Consider the following 20,545-nt stretch of genomic DNA (forward strand, 5'->3'; position numbering starts at 1 on the left):
CATGACTTTCAATCCTGTGTGGGTCTTAGTCCTGTCTATAAAGAATCAGAATACATATGCAGCTGTATTTGGGTCTCTCCAATTATTTGTTATTCTATAGCTAAGTGTCTTCCCTTGATGCAAATTATTCTGCTTTTTAAGAGATCACAGTTTTGTTTCATAATCCCACTGAATGAAATTTTTTTCCTTTGCAGGATAAATTTATTTTAAAACAAAACCAAGGCAAAACAAAAATTGATGTTACGGTTAATGGTTTAAGGGGTAAAGATTCTCAATTCCAGTTCTGCTATCAAATCAGAGGCAAGCCAACAAGCCCCTGAGAAGGGGAGAGCCCTGTTAAGCAGGACACTGTCCTAAAACCACGGAACTGCATCATCACGGTAATGCCCTATGGTGGACACTTTGTTCTAGCATGTGTAGTGGGTCACTGCTTTTTAAAGGTAAATTCCACCCCCCCTCAGAAAACGTGTCATGTGACCATAGGGACTTAACTGATTTTTTTAGAAATGGCCCATTATTTTATGAGCAATTTTTTAAAGCAGCAAAATATAATTTTAGCAAGTGGAAACATGAGGCCAGAAAAACACCTTCTTAACATTTAACACATGAATTGAAATTCTCCAGAACAGCATTACTAGAGTATGATCCAGAGACCCTGAGGAGCTTTCAGTGACTAATGAGAGGTTCCTCAGGAAGAAGACACAGTGCTGATATTCAAAAGAGAAACAGGAATGTGCTGGTAATTAATTTACCTGAAGGTGGAGGAAAGACAAGACCCTGAGGGCAAAGCAAAAACTAAAATGACACTGGCTTTAAGGGCAAAGAGAGAATTAGCAATAAAGAGGAAGGTCACTACCTGTGAAATCCAACACAAGCCCGAAGCCTCACAGCAATGATCTGAAAACCACGAATAACACCAGAATTCAGAAATCTATGTTTTCACTTCCTATTTAATAAGGCAATTTGAAAGAACCTCTATTCCCATTCAAAAAGAAATTAAAATTCCACAGAAATTATGTTAAAACACAAGTTTACAGTTCCAATGGGTTTCTGCCATAAAGCTGCCTCGCCTTCTAAATTTTGAGGTTGTGAGATGACAGCACCCAAATTTAATAACTAGGTCTTTCAAAAATTAACAAAGCATAAGACAACAGAAAAAGAAATACTTAAAAAAACCTGGAAACCTTTGATTATCAAAAAATGCTGAAATAAATTACCATAAATCTTAACAGAGTTTAAATTTATTTTGTTTGTATAATGCTTACAGCTTATTTGTGAAATCATGCTCATGCTAAGATTTAAACAAAAGACCAAACTAAGAATTATACAGTAAATTGGGAAAGATGCAATACTCCTTCACTCAATCAGCTAATATTACTGAGCACCGTGGATCCTCAGTAACATTCCACCTTCACATACAATCTTGTGAACGGCTTGTAATACAAAGAAAAATATTTAACAAAATTGAAAAAGGCCCATGCCTCTGCTTACACCAGATTTCCTGTGATATACAGATTTCCTATAAACTTAGCACCTATTAACTACTGGAAAGCATAGTTGTGCCTGAGTCAGCACCTTTCCTTCCATCTTGAAAGTCTTCTCTGCCCAGAAGCAAGCAGCCCACTGAGCCCCTAGCTATGGGATCAAGAGTAAATGATTAAACTCTCGGTCTTGGCTTCCTCATCTGAGAAGAGGCACCTGTGAGGCTCAACCATATGCAAAGGACCTTGCCTGACTTCCTGTACACCACAGGAATTAGTTACACAGAGTCTCATCATTCAAGATCCAGCCCAAGATGTGATGCATTCATCTAGGTCAGGATAAGCTCTCCTTTTCTGGATTCCTTTAACTCTTAAGAGTTTAGCTTATCACTGCTTTTTGAAATTGTTTACTTATGTTAGTGATTCTCCCTAGCTGTACTTCATACCATTTAGGGCAGATCCCATCATATACACTGAAGCACTTCCTAAAGCACTAGTCAAAATAACTGACCATTAATTCATTTATCCTTGAAAGCCTGAGAAAATCCATTTTTAAAAAAACAGACTGATAGCTAGACAGTAAGAGCAACTTTTAGAAAATGTTTTAAAATTATAAGAAATTCCCCTACAAACAGGCTAATTTAAAAGTCTTTTATAAACTAGCTGTAATATTTTATCTGAAAATATTTAGCAAGTCATGATATTATAAATCTATTTCTTGGACATCCAACAAAAGTAAATTTTTGCCATATATAAATCAAATACATAATTACTTGTATTATTCCACTTATGTGTAACAATGCTTGATGGATAAAATACCATCTGGCTTCAGGACTGTCCATAAGACTTCCCTGAATAATGATGATGTTGCATTTATAAAACTGACCCTTTCTTATGCTGCAGCATTATCATAAGTTGACAATGGTTTAACGGTTAGCCCAGAGGCTGCTGAACTTCATATATAAGTTAGCATTAAGGTAATAAAATATATGTGAATAATGCTTATCAAAGGTTACACATTTTAGAACAGGGTATTTCATCTGATCAAATTATATAACATAAGCCGGCAAGGAAGGAAGGAGTATAGCATTTTCCTCGTCATCTTTTGAATACCATCTTTTTCAGTGTCAGCTCTTCAAGTCACATAATAAGTCCAAGCTTAAGTTCATAGCCTTGTAAAATCTTGCTATAAACTACTGAGAATCTTTTTGTGAAAAAATGACTGATCTAATATTTTCTTGTTGTAAGGATCACAGTCAATTTAGGATTTCTAAAAAGTGTTTAAATTGACATCAGCCTGTACTCCCACCATTCTGGGAAGCAGAGGCAGGAGGACTGCTTGAGCCCAGGAGTTAGAGACCGGCCTGGGAAATATATGGAGACTCTTGTCTCTAAAAAAAAAAATTAAACGATTAGCTGAGTGTAGTGGCTCACACTTACATTCCCAGTTACTCTGGAGGCTGAGGTGGGAGGATCACTTGAGCCCCGGAGACTGAGGCTGCAGTGAGCTATGATCACACAACTGTACTTCAGCCTGGCCAACACAGCAAGACTCTAAATAAATAAATAATAGGGAACATAATACTTATAGGCATGGATACATTCCTTCACTAGAGACATCATAACAAAGATTGGCCAGCCTAACAAAAATAGGTCAAGTTCTTGAGTATTTTTGCCAATCAGAGATTTTAATAGGTACCCCCCATTCAAAAATTAATTTACATTTTTTTCCTACAAACTGCTCAAAGATACACAAAGCAATTCTTATCATTTCATTAATCCTATTTTATATTAGATCATAAAATGGTGCATTATACATGTTGTTTTATGACCACACAGCTGTTCCTTAAATAGTTGCTGCCTTAATTGAACTTGAGATGTGGTTTCTTGAATATAATGAAAATATACTTTCAAAAAATGCCTTATTTGGGAGACATGGAAAAAGAAAAGGAAAATGCTGTCAATACCCACAGACAAGAGTTAATATCATCTCTTAAGAAAAGTATTTCAGCACTGGTGGAAGGCTGGATTGTACCAACTAGAAGGTTCTTTCCCACCCTCCTGTGACAACAGGGTTAGGGTTTGCTGTTCTTCACAGTCAACGAAAGTAGCAGAGTTTAAAAATACCTTTTGATTACCCTAAAAGCAAGTAACAGTTGATGCCAACTGAGCAAAAAAGAATGTTGATATTCAATTTCCTGCCTATGGACTTCCTAGGGGAGAGACTTGGTAAAACATGCTTGTTGCTGTTGATCTGGTTGCAGAGCTATTCTTTCAATTAGCTACTGGAGACACAGATAGTATAATTAAATAACTAAAGATAATACCCCCCAAGAAACTCATTTTCAGCACCAGACCAAGATTGCAGTAGTGCCTTGCCTGAATTTTGTATTTTATTGTCCCAGTCCACCCTATGCTGAAGATACTAATAGACAAATAGCCAAAAATCACTTGGAAAACAGAACTAAGAAGAAAATGAAAGGCTTTGATCCAATAGAAACATGGATAGCTAGACTGATCATAGCACTGTTGTGCCAGGAAAAACCTGGACCACACTGGACTGAATAGAAAACATCAAGAAAGAAATTGTTTTAAAAATCTTTGAAGTACAATTTAATTAATTATTAAAATTTGAAAAAGACCTTAGAGATCATTTTATGATTAAGGAAACTAACATCCCAGAGGTACGTGACTTTTCTAAGGTCACAAAGCTAGTTTGCTTTGTGAATAAGAACTTGCTGAATAAGAACTAGCCTACAGATTTTTCTTATTTATATTCAGGCCAAGATTTAGTACACTAGTTCCCTATACCTTACTTAAGTTTGATGTGAATATGCTCTTTCGATCATAAAAGGTATGATGGATTTTAAGGTCGATTGAAAATATAAATATACACCCTATAGTTGACTGAATTCATGTTTTTCTGCTGAGGCAAATGGACATAAGACTAGTTAGCCCCAGGCCAGGGCTGACAATCACTGTTCTAATCCAGTATTTTGAGAAAACACTATGGTGGCTTGTGAGCAACTCCTCACATTCACATTTTCACATGAGGGTGGGAGGGTAAGTATTTTGGTTTAATGAGTTCTACCTCTCTCTGAGCTCAGTGGACAGCAATTTTGCCGCATTTAGAGAGCTGTGTCTAACTTGGTTCACATATAATCTGAAGTCTGTCCTGGGTAGCCAGTAAGCAAATCAGCCATGAAGACTTTTGTCTGACAAATTCAAATGAACAAACAACAACAATACAACACTTGGTGACAGGAGCTGGCATACATGAATCTGATTTATTTAATTCTCCGTATACCTATTAGCCTCTGAGCTTTTAGAAATAATCACTCAGGCAGTGCGTATCACTTTTATTTTGCCTGAGAACTCGCAAGCAATACTGAGGAAAAATCCAACAGGGCAGAGCCTCTAAAAATGTCACTGAACTCTAACACAGCAGGGAAGGGATTTCCTTATTTCATGTTATTGTTTCTTTGCTATTTTGTTTTTATGAGAATATACAACAGTACAAAATAGTACAAAATAACAAAAATAGTTAAGAGTCACCACCATTTCAGGAGTTGCTTATTTGTCTTCATCTGTGGTCAAGCTTCTGAAAAATGGCCAGAGAATCTTCCTCTTTACCTGGTTTCTCCAAGTCACATAGCAGAAGAAAGCCAATTTTAACACTGTTTCAAAGAAAGGGAATAGTACTTGGAAGTAACATGCAGTGCAAAATAAAAAAAAAAGGATACACACACACACACACAGCATAAAATATCAAAAGTACCAGACTGCTCTTACCAGCTTATGGGCCAGCTAAACAACTGTTTCTTCCACTTTGACCTGTTCCTTCAACCTCATCCACCCAGCAAAATCCTAAACTTGGGATCAATACAGCAAAGCACGATCTCTCATTCAGATGCAGGAAGCTGAAAACTTCTGGGGGAAAATTGTGCTGTGCTTCTCCTCCAATCCATGACTTAAATCCTAATCTGGTAACCAGTAACAATGAACTTTTTTAGCTATCCTTGGTACAGCTCTTTCTCAATTCCCTCAGAGACTATTCTAGATCATCACTAGGCTCTGGACCAACTCACAGGTGATTTATCTCCTGCTCTCCTGAAAAGATGAAGGCCACCAGCCCTGGTCAAAGCTGAATTCCCCACTCTACTCTTCTATCTAAAATATATTATACGTATAGACAGCCACACCCATCCCTAACTCTGAACTCCTCCTCCTGTTGGAGACTTACTTCCCAATTGAGTTCTTGACCCTGACTTCCTCTAGAGAGACAGATTATCCTCAGTCCTTTCCTTTTTTCAATTTTTCTCTTTAAGCTTTCCTTGTACACAGCCATAAACTTAAAAAATGGGTCATTCCTCCCGCCACCGGCCTTATCTTAGTGTTCGCAGCTCTACTTAGCAGTCTCTTTCTCCGTCTCTTTTCTCTTACACTTCCACAAACACACACTCTCTCTATCTCCTCCAACTCAAATATATTGAGAAAAGACACTTCCCTAGCTAGCAAGCACAGGACCGCAAGCACTGCATTCTACTTGTTCACCTGCTCCTCTGCACACGCGTGATTTTCCACCTCAGTATCCTCATTTCCATCCTGCCCCTCAAATCTTAACTGTCCAAGGCATCATTCCCATATCATGGCTCTTCTCATTCACCTTGTATGGTTGCAACCACTACCACATAGTATCAACAAACAACTCCCCACTGTTGACTGCTACATCTGCACCTTCTAGCCAAGATTCAACCTCCATCTTCAGAAAATCATGTTTAAATACCTACTTTGTACTGACTGACATTGTCATGTCCATAAGCATCTCAAAGTCACACATCGGATGGAAATCTTCAACTTTGTTCTCAATCTGGTCCCATACTCTATATTCCTATTCTCAACCCTAGAGTCACGGTAATCCTTGAATCCCTAGTGCAAAACACTGTGTTTGGGACTTAGTAAGTACTTAATGTGCTGAATGAATGAAATGATTAATTACTTTCAATATTATAATTTCCTACAAAATTAGTATTTAGGTCATGTGAACTAATCACATGATAACGCCACAGGACACAGGTTATTAACTACCACTGTACCCATCTTCTCTAAAGGAGAATAAAAATATTATCCATCTGGAATCATGCTCACCACTGTATTATAAACTTGTTTTTAAAAGGAATGACATTTAGTGACCAGAATACAAGACCTTTGAGACCATGTTAATTTTCGCCTAACACAAGGGAGAACGTCAACCTTCTAGCAAGCAGCAACAGTACAGCTAAATTCACTCTGGAACAACCTAGTTTGCAATTGAGAAGTTGATACAATTAAGAAAATGTGTTTATACTGTTCTAAAGAAGGGATTAACAGGATTATTATACTATTTTATTATCCTAAAGAAGTGGCTTTCCAGTGTTATAACTACCCTATAGTCCTTTCCAACATTAGAACTCTATAGTTATTCAGTTATTGTTATGCTTAAACATTTCCTCTACTACTGTATAGTTCCGTAAATCTCTCGGTCAAACTTTGCTAATTTCCTTTATTTATTAAGCCTTCATTGTTTTTAAGTAAAAGGTCCATTTATTTATCATTCAATCACACTACGGTCTCCCACTGAGAAAGACTGTGTACCTAACAAAAATCTTCAGAGTGTACTCGGGAAAAGAGACTATTTCCTTCTGTGTGGGTCAGCATCATATCCTGTCAAAAATCAGGACCCTATGAGCTCTCTGGGGACACTGACCATGGTTCTAAATAATATATGAATCTGGACAATTACAAATGTATGTTTTTGCTTTTTGCTCACACACAAGACACACTAGGGGCTTGCCTCTAGTTGAATGGCTTCTTGTTTTCACTCAGTTTCAGCCTATGCTCTCATCTCATTAGAATTTCAGTATCCTCTGGTCTTGCAGAGTTCCCTTTACCTTCTTTTGTATCAGACAAAAGATGGTAATTTACGTCTAATTAACGGAACTGAGTCATAATGAGTTCTTTTCTCTTAGACAGCATTTGAATGTCCAAAATAACCAGAGAGATTGGGCTTTTTAAGTCTTGCTCCAGTTTAAGGTTTTATAACACAATGCTCTCATTCAGGCCTCCTACTTTGCATACAGTCAGAGGGCTGGAGGTTATCCACATTGTGAAATTCTTTGGCTAGTTATGCCCAGAGTGACTGAATGGCAGGCAGGCTGAATTTAATATTTTCTGCTAAGCAGCTCTGTTGAGACAGCCAAGCTTACGACTGCATCCTTTTCATGTCTCTTACTTATACTTTGAAATGCTATCTTTTGCCTGTTGATGAATTTGATAGCATTCTTTATGAGATCAATTTCCTTGAGAAAGATACAAAAGGCAGGATGAAAGACAAGTTTGATGCAAAACACACAAAGGGCTGTGCATCTGTGTGAAGAGAAGCATGATAAAGCATAAAGCGGTTCTCCCCACACCATGATGAGGGACAAAGATGTAAACACAATAAGCCCGCCTAAAGAAAGCAAAAGCACATGTTCTAACGGGAGCAGTAACCAGGTTAAAATACTTGAAGCATCTTCTTCCTCTCTTATGCCAGAGCATTTTAAAATGCCCTCTATACATGACGGCATGCCAACACAAACAAACTGCAGAGGCTGAACTCCACTGGCATCGTGCCGTCCTGAAATGACACCAGTTAGATAAACTGGGTTTTTACTCCTGGGACAGTCTTCAACCAAGCTTTTTATTACATTGGGTTAAGAAGAAAAAAAAATAACCCTTGTCTCCACACTTCAAAATCCAAATGTGTATTCCTTTGATAGGATATTGTTATATTAAAAATACTGTGGCAATATCACTTGTCATCATGTTCTACTGACACACATATTCACCAATGCTCCAAATTTCAGAGGCTCAGCCACTCAAAAGAAAAACAAAACAAAACAAAAAAAGAATGAATGAAAATAAAAAACAAAACAAAACAAAACAAAACAAAACAAAAAATAAGGCTGACCAAACTTTCATGATGGGAGCCCTGGGACCAAGAAATTATAGCTGTATTATAAAGGACAGGCAAACCACACTACAGATACTCGGTTTTTTACTCTCTCCCGCCTCATTTTTTTCCTCCCCCTCAAAGAGGGAGTGAATGTGAAATTTACACAGACAAGCTCCTCAATAGATACACTTGATTTGTCAAATGGAAAGATGACCCTTCAGTAACTAGGCTGCTTGGTGAAAATATTAAACCAGACAGTAAGTCAGAGAAAATTAAATACTACCTTGATTAATCAGGCTTAATGGGTGAGAAGCAACTAATTTATAACACTACATTGACAAAAACAGGGTAAAGAAAAAGGAGGCTGTTTCACATCAGATTAAAGTATAATTTCTTTTTCTACTTTTCTTGGGGAAGGAATATATTGATACTCATAAAGTCAACTACATTTTTGAAGATATAAACAAAAATCACTGTAGACATAGTCTTTGCCCCTTGATACTCAAAATCTAATGTGAGAAATAAAACATACGTAAGCCCTGAACACGCAAATGAGTTTTAATGTTAATTTATCAATCTGACACTTGAACCATAATTTTTTTCATTCGAATTAAATTGAAAATCATTTGGATGTCTCCAAGTTAGCTCAGATACCCTTTCTAAATTAGAGCAGAGTGAATTAACAGCACAAGGAATCTTGCAATCTTGCCTTTCAGCCTCATGTGCTTGAAGGCTTTCAGACCCTGAAGGTGATGGGGAGGAAATGTCCTGGGGCCTATGTAAGTCTGTCCGAGAGGCATCTGGTGAGCTAGGCACCTCCCAAAGGAGGTGGACAGAGGAAGAGGGTTTCTAGCACAGCACCTGCAGGGGTTTTAAAGGGTTCCTAAGGGGGCGGGCATGTTCCCTGACAGCCACCTTCCCAGCAAGTCAAGTGTTGCTAAACTGGGGGCCTTCTATGCATAGCAAAAGATAGACACCATACAAAGAAGCCAAAGTGTGAAATGAGTGGAGGCAGATATTGCATATCAGGAGAGAAAATACAAATTCTACGCTGGGTGTCACAAAAAGACTACAGTGCCAATTCAAGGGGAAACAAATCTGACTTGAAAAAATATTAATATCTAGATTATTACACTTTAGTATAATTTACAAAATAGCCACTCTTAAAGAGCTTTGGAAACAAAAGCCTACACACTGTGATTTAGTTTCATTCATTTGCTCTTTCTCATAACTGAATAGAAGTATAACAGAAAAGAGAGGAGGAACAGAGCTCATCAAGAGTACGTCTCCTTTACATGTCATTCAACTCTAGCACACTGGAAAAGCCTGCTTATAATAAAGAACCAATATACAGAAACTTCAGAAAAACCTAAATGCCAAACCTAGATCTTTGACTCTCTACCAGATGAGGACACCATCAAATGATAATTTTCTAGAAAAAAGATTTTAGGACCTCAAATAAAAGAGTGATAAATACAATGAAATTCCTTCTATATAATAACTACAACAGAAAAATCAAACAACAATATTCAGTCACAACTTATAATAACCAATCACATATATTTCTTCACATTATAATTATAAAATCTTCACATTTTAATCATTACAGTCAGTAGTGTTTCCTAGAAGGAAATTTTTAAAGGGTTATTATGCCTTACTATACATACGGGTTATCTAGTTTCCATAATCATTTTTTTAACAAAAAATTGCATATAAATTGATAGTCTGTAAATAGAGTTACATTTTAAGTGTCCTTGAATTATTTAAGTAATTTAAAGCAATTTCAATTGCAATTTTGTTCAAGTCCAATAATCTTTTCTAAAGCAAATGGTTATATCTAATTTATGCATTTCCTAATTGGTCCAACCTGTAACTGGTTTTCTTAAAACAAGATTAAAGAAAGTAAGGTTAGCCAAATTCATAATTAGTACTCTTTACCAGGTCTTATTCCAAGAGATGCATTTAGCAATAAATATTTAATGGACACCTGCTACCCTGGGTATGTGAACAGTGCCAGGAATACAGAGGTAAACAGGACAGAGCCCGATTCCTGTCCTGATAGAGCTCTCCACACTTCAGATCCATATTCACCTGACAGAATCTTCCATATCCACGTGAATTATGCTCTTATAAACTGTTTTATTACATCCTTAGTAAATCTATGAGGTTTCACTGATGAGAAACTAAAGTGTAGTTAGCATAACTACAAAAAATTATTGGATGCCACAGATGTCAAAGAACTTGGAGATCAATTAGTCTGGTGGTTCCTTTCCTTTCTGAATATAAGTATCAATTTTTAATTTATAAACAAAACAGAATTATACACAAACACAGAGCTATGTGGACCCCACATATTAGTAATTGTTCTTTTTTGCATCTGTTGACTAAGACAATGCCTATAAACTACTTTGAATTCACTACGCTTTTAAATACATGTCTATTACAGTAATCTCAATAACATCTAAATTAATTTGTCTCACAGTGACAAATGTGTGGCATTGGCTGACGTATGGATTTGTGTATTGGACAATAATTCCAAGGGCCTTTAAAAGGCAATAAAGGCAAAAATCTCACCCATCTCCTTCATGTCCTCATTGCAGCACAAATGAGGGCCAGAAATGACTGCACTATCTTCCAAGGTCATACCACTGGCTAGCGAGAACACTGAGGACTACAGCTTCTTCCCCCCAGGCAGCGTCCACAAGCATCTGCTCAGGTGTTACCCATACCCTTCCCTCCACAGATGACAATTCTCCTTTAGCTACAAAATTCAGAAGTCATCTCTGTGTATGTTTATTAGAGTAGCTTGTACTGTATTCCAGCAAACTGGTGGCAATGCTATAAATGCTCTCCCTTTCCAACCTTATGGTAGATAAGAACTCAATGAAAGCTAAAATATAACTTCAGGGCAAAAGACAAATTTTCTTTTATTGTACTGAAGAATGTTGTATCCATCATAGCCTACAAATACCCAGAAGCCAGTATAATATTTCTAATACAACATGTATCTTACTGGTTTGGGGAAGAAAAAATAATCCTTTTATTCCTTTTCACTCTGCCTACAAGTAGAACATTGAGATAATAGAGATTAAGCCTTAAATTTCTATATCCAATAGTGGTTGAATCACAAGAGGACTGAAAAAGCATTTGTCTCTACAAGATAATACCTAATATGCTAGTCCTCCGGGCAGTTTACATTGATTTTGCATTTAATTGCATAGGCTGATTTTCTCATATTTTCCAGGACAAAGTTGTCAAAATGAAAGGATCTAGATGTACTCTGCTATGAAGCCAAAAGAAGAAAGTAAACTTAAGAGCACTGGTTTCTGTAATAACTATATGATTGCAAAAAGTTTTGTTTTGTTTTTTTCCTACTAGAAATTGACACTGGGGATCACAAACCAACTTGAGAGCAAAGGTGATAAAACTGTACTTTCTCCTCAATCCCTCATTTCCCCCCTCTGTTCTTAAATTACTTTCAGAAATGGGAAGAAAATGAAAACACCCCCTGACACTTAAATACCTTTCACCTACTCTGTAACGAATTGGATTTAATTCCCTTTAGTTCAGTTAGCTAGTGGACTTTGTCCTTCAGTCTGTCTGGTAAATATTTCACAATTCTCTCTGTATGTTTTTGTAAAGTAGTGGGAAAAAAAAACCTTATTCATTTCTCTTACCATCAAAGAAGACAAAGACAATATTTTGATGGGAATAAAGCAGTTAATTCTAAATGATTAACTCAAATTATTTTTTAGAGTATACGTTTCCTGAAGCTTCACAGAAAATGATACTTTAAAGACAACTTACTGATTTACTATTTGAAGAAGCTACCACTGGAAAATTAATTAAAATACCAATGGCTTTGGGACGTTCTCATAGGAGTTATTTGAAAATGACATTAATACAAATTTTGTTTCCAAAGAAAATGGTAAACTTATCTTTTCATTTGATTAACTGAGCTATTTTAATCACTGTTTAAGGAACATCCCCCCACCCCACCACCGCCATTAGTTTGCTAGGGCTGCCATTACAGACTGCCTGGCTTAAACAATAGAAATGTGTATTCTCACAATTCTAGAAACTACAAGTCTGAGATTAAGGTGTTAACAGAGTTGGCTTCTTCGCAGGCCTTTCTGCTTGGCTTGTAGACAATCTTCTCCCTGTCTCTTTACGTGGTCTTTCCTCTGGGTATGCCTGTGTCCTAAGAACACCAATGATACTGGAGTAGGGCCCACCTGATGAAGATCCTCTCTCCAAATACCATCACATACTGGGGTTTAGGATTTCGACATATGAATTTTAAGGGAACACAATTCAGCCTGTAACACACCTACGAACCAAAAATTAACTCTTCATTTCCAAGTGGCTCTATAATGTCTCCTTCTCTCAGTCTAACATGTAATGACAGTCTTGCTTCTTAAAGGCCAAGAAAGGCAGACCTTCAGAAGGCAGAGAAATTACTGACCATGATGCCAAATCAACAATAGTCAGTACTAATACAGGTCTCACCTTAGCCTTTACTAAAGAAATGATTACCTTCATGTATAAATATAAAATGCTTATTTATGAAATGAAACAAATAAGTCAGAGGAAAAGTAGCACACATAATTTTGTTTGTCACCCTCAGAAGACTATTGTAATAAATTGCTCAATCCAATTATCAAAATTCCTTCTGCTACCCTATTTCAAGGAATAGGAATGAAATACTGATTAGAAGAGAGAAAAAAAAAACAAAAGGATGAAAAGAATCTAAAATTGTAAAAGCCCCATAAAAACTCTGCAGTTGAAAATATTAACATATACTATTATTTTAAATAATATTATTTTGTACGGCAAAATCTTTGAAGAAACCACAGCAAGAAAAAGTCCCTAATTCAGAGGTGGTATCAAATGACATTACTATATTTCTAATTTTATTTACCTTTCTTAAAATAAATGAGATTATAGGAAAACAACAGAATTGTAGAAGTCTTCACATCTGTCCCCCTATTTTAACAGTGAGGGATGAGGTCCATTAAGAAATTACTTTCTTAACAACCAAATGGAATCCACCAATATTCCAGCCTATGCCACCCCCTACATTTACATTTTGTGCTCTTTCAAAGGCAAACAATGATTTTGAATATTTTTCTATTATTGAGCAAATCACAAATGTAGGTAACACCGAGTTGTCACATCTGTCCCTCCGAAGGACTTATTAAAAAGGATAGTGGCAACAGAGCGGTTGGACATTTCATAAGTCATCACGATCTAGTAGGTACTGCATAAAAGATTGAAACAATGCTACTACTCATATTTTTGCTCAAAGAACACCTTTTAAAATACAATTGATGACTATGTGAAGCTTTTCTCCAAGAAAAAAATCATATATAGCTATACAGATAGATGGATATATACACACACAAAATCTGGCATTTCAGAGAGTTGAAAATATCCCCCAATAAGTATTATAATATTTAAACCTCTGAATCAGATAAATAAAAACAAAGCCCAAGTTAGAAGATACTGGGTAAAGTCTCTTCTTCCTGATCCCTCATCTCAACTAAAAGACTGTTTCCATGTAATAAAGGAATAAGATGGGAGTCCTAACTTGTTTTTAAAATTCTGGGAATCAATAATATAGATTTTCAAAGGTTTCTTTCTACTCTTTACACCATTCGACTCCCATATGGAAGATACTATTTAGCTTTGTCTGGTATGATTAAGATATGAATGTCTTTATCTTTTAAAGTCTAAGCAAAGTTAAAAAAAAAAAGAAAACAAAACAAAACACATTAGGATGTTCTCAAAACCAACAAAAAATTTAGCTATAAGGTTCAGATAAAACATTGCGAAAAATCACCATCACTGCCAGCCAGTTAAATGATTAATACATTTTCCTCGACATATTCTATTTCATTCTTTTATACATTATACTGAAAAACTAAAACTTGAAACCTAGTAGTAACTTGTACATGTCTTTGTCACAAAGAGAATCATAACTAAACCTCAAAAGTAAATTTCACTTTTACTTTTTAAAAAGTGAAGAGCATACACATATAATATCACAGTTCTCAGCTCCCTGAGGCATGTTTGGAGGTCTACACAGAATGAAGGGAAACAGCGGGGTGCCTGAGCAGAGGTGGTCCTCAAATTCGACTGGACACGTCCCATAGCCCACACACCAATGAATCTAAATTATTCTTGGAGCACATTAAAAACTTAGACTCAAATGAGCAAATATGTGAATAAACTTCCTCATCACATTTAGGAGAAAATATATCCTTCTACAATTTTGAAATAATCTCCCTTTAAAAGAAACCCCAGTTAGCCTAGTGGATGTTGCAACTGTTTTGGAGTTCCTCAACTATAAAAATGAGGAGTTAAAAGAGATGATTGTGGCCAGGTGTAGTGGCTCACACCTGTAATCTCAAAACTTTGGGAGGCTAAGGTGGGCGGATCACTTGAAGCCAGGAGTTCGAGACCAGCCTGGCCATCATGGTGAAACTCTGTTTCTACAAAAAAATACAAAAATTAGCCAGGCATGGTGGTGCAAGTCTGTAGTCCCAGCTACTACAGAGGCTGAGGCACGAGAATTACTTGAACTTGGGAGGCAGAGTTTGTAGAAAGCCAAGTTCACACCACTGCACTACAGCCTGGGAGACAGAGTTAGACTCTGTCCTTAAAAAAACAAAACAAAACAAAAAAAGCCAGGTGCGGTGGCTCACGCCTGTAATCCCAGCACTTTAGGAGGCTGAGGCGGGCGGATCACAAGGTCAGGAGATCGAGACCATCCTGGCTAACATGGTGAAACCCTGTCTCTACTAAAAACACAAAAAATTAGACAGGTGTGGTGGCGGGCGCCTGTAGTCCCAGCTACTCAGGAGGCTGAGGCAGGAGAATGGCGTGAACCCGGGAAGCGGAGCTTGCAGTGAGCCGAGATCGCACCACTGCACTCCAGCCTGGGCGACAGAGTGAGACTCTGTCTAAAAAAAAAAAAAAAAAAAAAAATTACTGCTATAGTTCCTCCCCACTCTAAATGCTACCTTTCAGAGACTTCACATTTTTAAAAAATGAAAGCAAGGATTCAATGGGCCAGGCCAATTTAACTCAAAACCTATAAATTGGGGGGAAATAAATGTTAAAGAATTTATAACATGTTATATGACATGTTATAACATATGTTTTCCAACAATTTCTGTTCATTGCTGCTTTAATAAGGTGTCTTGACTCATATTTTTTAGTGCCTTAAGATCCTTCTAAGCTCTAAAATCAGTTTTCACACTCTGTCAGTTAACTAGGGACTCAAGTTTTTCCTCCTTGTAAATGGCCAGGCTTCAGGTACCAGGGCTTTTTCATATGTATATGCTCCATGTCCAATAAAGCTTCGGAGAGTATTCAGACATCTAATAAATGCTTGCTAGATGAACGAACAAGCCAAGGAGTGACTGCACTGCTGTGAGTTAGGCATGTGGAATTTAAAAGAAAAAAAAGGGTCGGGTGCAATGGCTCATGCCTATGATCCCAGAACTTTAGAAGGACAAGGTGGGAGAATTGCTTGAGGTCAGATGTTCAAGACAAGCCTGGGCAACATAGTGAGATCCCATCTCTATAAAATAAAAATAAAAAATAAATAAAAAGTTGAAAAAAAAAGAATCTAACTACAGGGTTCCACTGCTCAGGATGCATCCAGAAAAGGGGACACAGGCAGGTAAAAAATAATTAATTACAGGCTGGGTGTGGTGGCTCATGCCTGTAATCCCAGCACTTTGGGAGGCCAAGGCGGGCAGATCACCTGAGGTCAGGAGTTCGAAATCAGCCTTGGCAACACGGTAAAACCCCATCGCCACTAAAAATTAGCTGTGCATGATGGCACACGCTAGTGGTCCCAGCTGCTCTGGAGGCTGAGGCAGGAGAATCACTTGAACACATTAGGTGGAGATTGCAGTGAGCTGAGATCATGTGACTGTACTCCAGCCTGGGCAATAGGATGCAACTCCATCAAAAAAAAAAAAAAAAAAGAAAGAAAAGAGAATTACCACATACTAATGACTAAGTTCCTCAATGGAAATGGAGAATACATACAAGGTACAATAGCAACACAGAAAGGGCCTGAAAAAACTGGAGAGAGGCATAAAGGTTACAGCACGAATTATGGTGCATCCTAACATCAGAAAACAAACTATTTGGGAATTATGCAGTTTAAACTAGTTCTGTTTCCTTTATAGGTCACTGTGAGGGTGATTCAGACATGCTTTTATGCCTTAACGTGTCTGGATCCAAGTGGAAACCCAACAGTATGAGGTGCTATTCCCTCAATACCACTGGGTATGTAAAAGTACATATTACAGACTTTAAATTTTACAAACATAAAAACATATATAACTTGGAATGATTCCTGAAAGAATGGAATGACCTTTACTGTGACAAAGGAAAGGCTTTACCAGGCAAGTATTTGGGCAAAAATTATGAACAATTTTACACAAGTCAAAATTCCAATAGTAAATAATATTAGAAAAAGATTGGTCCATGCTAGTAATCAAAGATGTATAAATTAAAGCAACCTTGAGATGCCATTTTATGGCTGCCAAGGAGGCAAGTTCTTTTTTTTTTTTTTTAACATAACACACAATGATGAAGTAACTATGGTAGAGAATACTATTAATTAGTAACACATTTCTGGAACGCAATATGAAAATACATAACAACAAAAAAAGTAGTTTCATATAATTCCACTCTTAAGAACACATTCTCCAAAAATACACCACAAGAAATAAAAAAGCTATAAGCATTAAGTTGTTTATTTGGCATTATCTGTAAAAATCAAAAAGTGAAGCAAAATCCAAAATTATCAAATCAGGGAAGAATGTTAACAAACTAAAGTGTATTGACACAATCTAATATCATGTACTCAATAGTTTATGATCGTGAAGGCACTGCATAAACAAAACAAAAATTTGTTATGAGGATATGTAAAAAATGTGAAATGCCACGTGCACTTTGTAAATAAGACTTAAATAGCATAAATCAACATTTGCTCTTCTGTAGCAGCAATGCTTAAAATAATGACAAGCTAAGCATGCTCCGTACTTGAGCAAGATCAAAATTAAAAATCTGCCAATGTAGTGAAAATATGCAAATTTTTAGCAGTAGATAATTTCTCCCATGATAATTTTAAGCCATCTTTCAATGTCTAGCACACATGCCACCTCATTCAGCCATCCAATTCTCACAGCCGCAAGTAATATTTTCTCCTACCTCTGTATTTCCAGTACACTCTGCTTAGAGTCCCCCTGAGGCATTATCAGGGTCTCCCTTGTAGCTGACGGTGTACCCGCTCTGATGTGCAGGATAAAAGAAAGTAGTATCCTTTCTTCACTTCTGCATCTGTGTCTACAAGGAATCAATGTGTATTTGTGTTTCTTAAATTTAGATACCTGTGTTTCAAAGCTAGAAAAAAGAGACCAAAAAGGGATTGAAAATGGAGATGCACAGTCTGAGTCCTCCTACACACATATGGTTACAATATTCCAAAGGAAATACAGCTATGGAGTTTTGTTCCTTTTTTTAAAAAAAAAAAAAAAAATGGAACTCACAGCCGGGTGCAGTGGCTAATGTCTATTATCCCAGCATTTTGTTCTTGCAAGTGCATTCATATCTAATCTGCATTTCTGTCCATTTCTAAAGTACAGTTGACCCACAGTACCCATGGATTCTGCATCCACAGATTCAACCAACTGCTAACAAAAAATATTTGAAAAAAATGAAAACAATATTGCAAAAAGTACAGTATTTACATAGTGTGTATTATAAGTAATCTAGAGATAACTTAAAGTATACAGGAGGATGCACATAGCTTATATACAAATACTATGCCATTTTTTATCAGAGATTTGAGCATCTGCAGATTTTGGTATCCAAAGGGGTTCCTGGAACCAATCCTCTGAGAATACCGAGGGACATCTGTACTATGCATTGCTACTTAAATGCATTATTTAAAAATGTACTATAAATGGCCATTGAAATAAGAGCTAAAAATAAGTTTTATAATTTTTTCATGTTCCTAAAAAGATTTTCAATTTTTGATAAAATGGAGTTTTTTTGTTAATTTCCTTTTGTTCAGAAAAAGAAACAGCATATTTGAAAGACTATAGAGGACTCTTGCAAATAGCAAAAGTTTCAATTTGTATATCCTGTGTCCCAAAATTTCATTGCAGAAAATTTATCCTAAGGAAATAATCATAGATCTGATAAAGATTAAGTGCCAAGGATGTTTATTCCAGAATTTTATATAATAGCAAAATGTTGGGGAATGGGAAGTTGTAAATGGTCTATAAAAGAGCTTTTAGTAAATATACTAATAGCACATCTGTATGCTGTATTGCTACACAGATATGACAATTACATTGAAGAAGATCTAGTGATCAGGAAAAATAACTTAAAATATATCATTTAGGAAAAATGCATTAAAGAGGAAACTCAATTTTTGAAAAAATAAAATAACTGGAGTTATTCTTATCATTTGCAGTAGTTATGATCCATAAAGTTGCCAAAAAACACTGAATTTGTAAAGGCTGAACCACTGCTCCTAGAAGAAATGCAAAGTTAGGTTCCTATGAGCCTCTGGTCACAAGATTTTCATCAACTGATCAATACCTTGTTTTATGTGCATTTCTGTTTAAAGACACCTTATTTAACATTGGCTGTTGATTTGTTAATATTGACCACATGGCCGATAGCACTATAACTCATGCCTGAACAAAACTTATTGACTACACGTATTTTCTCGGTGAGGCACATCCAGCCTTCCTGTGCTTAGGAACACTAGACAGCACTTCAGTCCTACACATGGGGGCCATTTTAAACAGTGAAATCACCAACAAAAAGCACACAAATGAGGAAACATGATATTAAGTAGGCTGCAAACAGGACATTTGTTTAGAGTCTGAGGACTGAAATAGTAAGGCAGAGAATCTACTTGTTCATTCTCAGGTGGGAAAGTGTGTGCTGGCTGACTCAAATTTTTTGCTACTCTTCATGTGTCTGCCAATGACCAAGACAGTGCTATGTACATTAATTGGGGGTTACAAATAAGTCTCAAGGAATAGGTGAATTTTCAGATATGGACTTCACAAATAAGGAAGAGTGACTGTATATATACATAGGGGAAAAACTGGATGGATTTAAGTAATCTATAAACAGAAGTCTCTCCATGGAGTAACTAAGTAAGTGTGTTACAGGTAATACTTATTTTCTTTTTGCTCATCTGCTGTTTCAAGGTAAATTTATCATGCATCAATTACTTATAAAAATGACATATCTGATTACCTATTCTAATTATCTACTGCAAATATTTACTAACTTTTGAATTATAGGAAGAAAACTAACACTAACAAAATCCTTTACAATTTTGGTGTTTACATTATATTTTAAGAACTATCTTACACTGTTAAATAGTTTGTGATACTGAGAGTTATTTGCCATTAACCATTTACCTTAACCATTGGCAGTATCTAATTTTAAGGAGTTAAAAAGAATGCAGGTCAAGAGGACTTTAACTTTCTGTGGTGATAATACTACATGAAGAGAAAATGGACTCAAGTTATTTATAGCTGATACAATTCATTTCCAAAACAATGATGTCATATCTTACATTTTATGTTTGTAGTCACACTAATATGGCTGCTAACCAGTTGCAAGACTTCACTGAACACTTCCACATCAATTAAAATATAAAATGTTATAACTACACAGTAAAAATGACAATTGGCAAGAAACCACTAGAAAGAAGTTTAGTAAGGGCAAAACCAACCAAACCCAAAAGGAGTTAGGGAGAAGAGCAGGTAACCACTACATATAAAGATAAAAAATTAAATATAAATATTAAATACACCTTGATAAGAAAACAAGGCCATGGAAGTATAAGAAAAATTGAGAGACAGTGTGATATTAGAGAAAGCAAATAGCAAGTGAAAGCATGTGCAATTTCAGATAGAAAAATATTTGATCTCTTTTGAAAATCTTACTTTCAAAGGTAGGTATCACCTTTAGAGTGGCCTAAATATTAAATACGATGATCAAATATTACTATATTTCAGACAAACATCTG

At 36.3% G+C, this 20,545-nt stretch overlaps 1 protein-coding gene across 3 annotated transcripts in view, besides 1 other annotated feature; it reads right to left on the minus strand.

Annotated features, from left to right (window-relative positions):
• Positions 1 to 20,545, minus strand: part of CDH2 (cadherin 2) — a 244,252-nt gene that overhangs the window by 146,490 nt on the left and 77,217 nt on the right. The window lies entirely within an intron of this gene.
• Positions 4,531 to 9,524: an enhancer, noted in NCBI's record as "VISTA enhancer hs1634". NCBI's record gives its function as "enhancer in: branchial arch[7/8] | cranial nerve[7/8]" and the evidence as "EXISTENCE:transgenic organism evidence [ECO:0001131][PMID:17130149]".

Source organism: Homo sapiens, chromosome 18, assembly GCF_000001405.40.
Source record: "Homo sapiens chromosome 18, GRCh38.p14 Primary Assembly".
In the NCBI taxonomy this organism is placed as follows: Eukaryota; Metazoa; Chordata; class Mammalia; order Primates; family Hominidae; genus Homo; species Homo sapiens.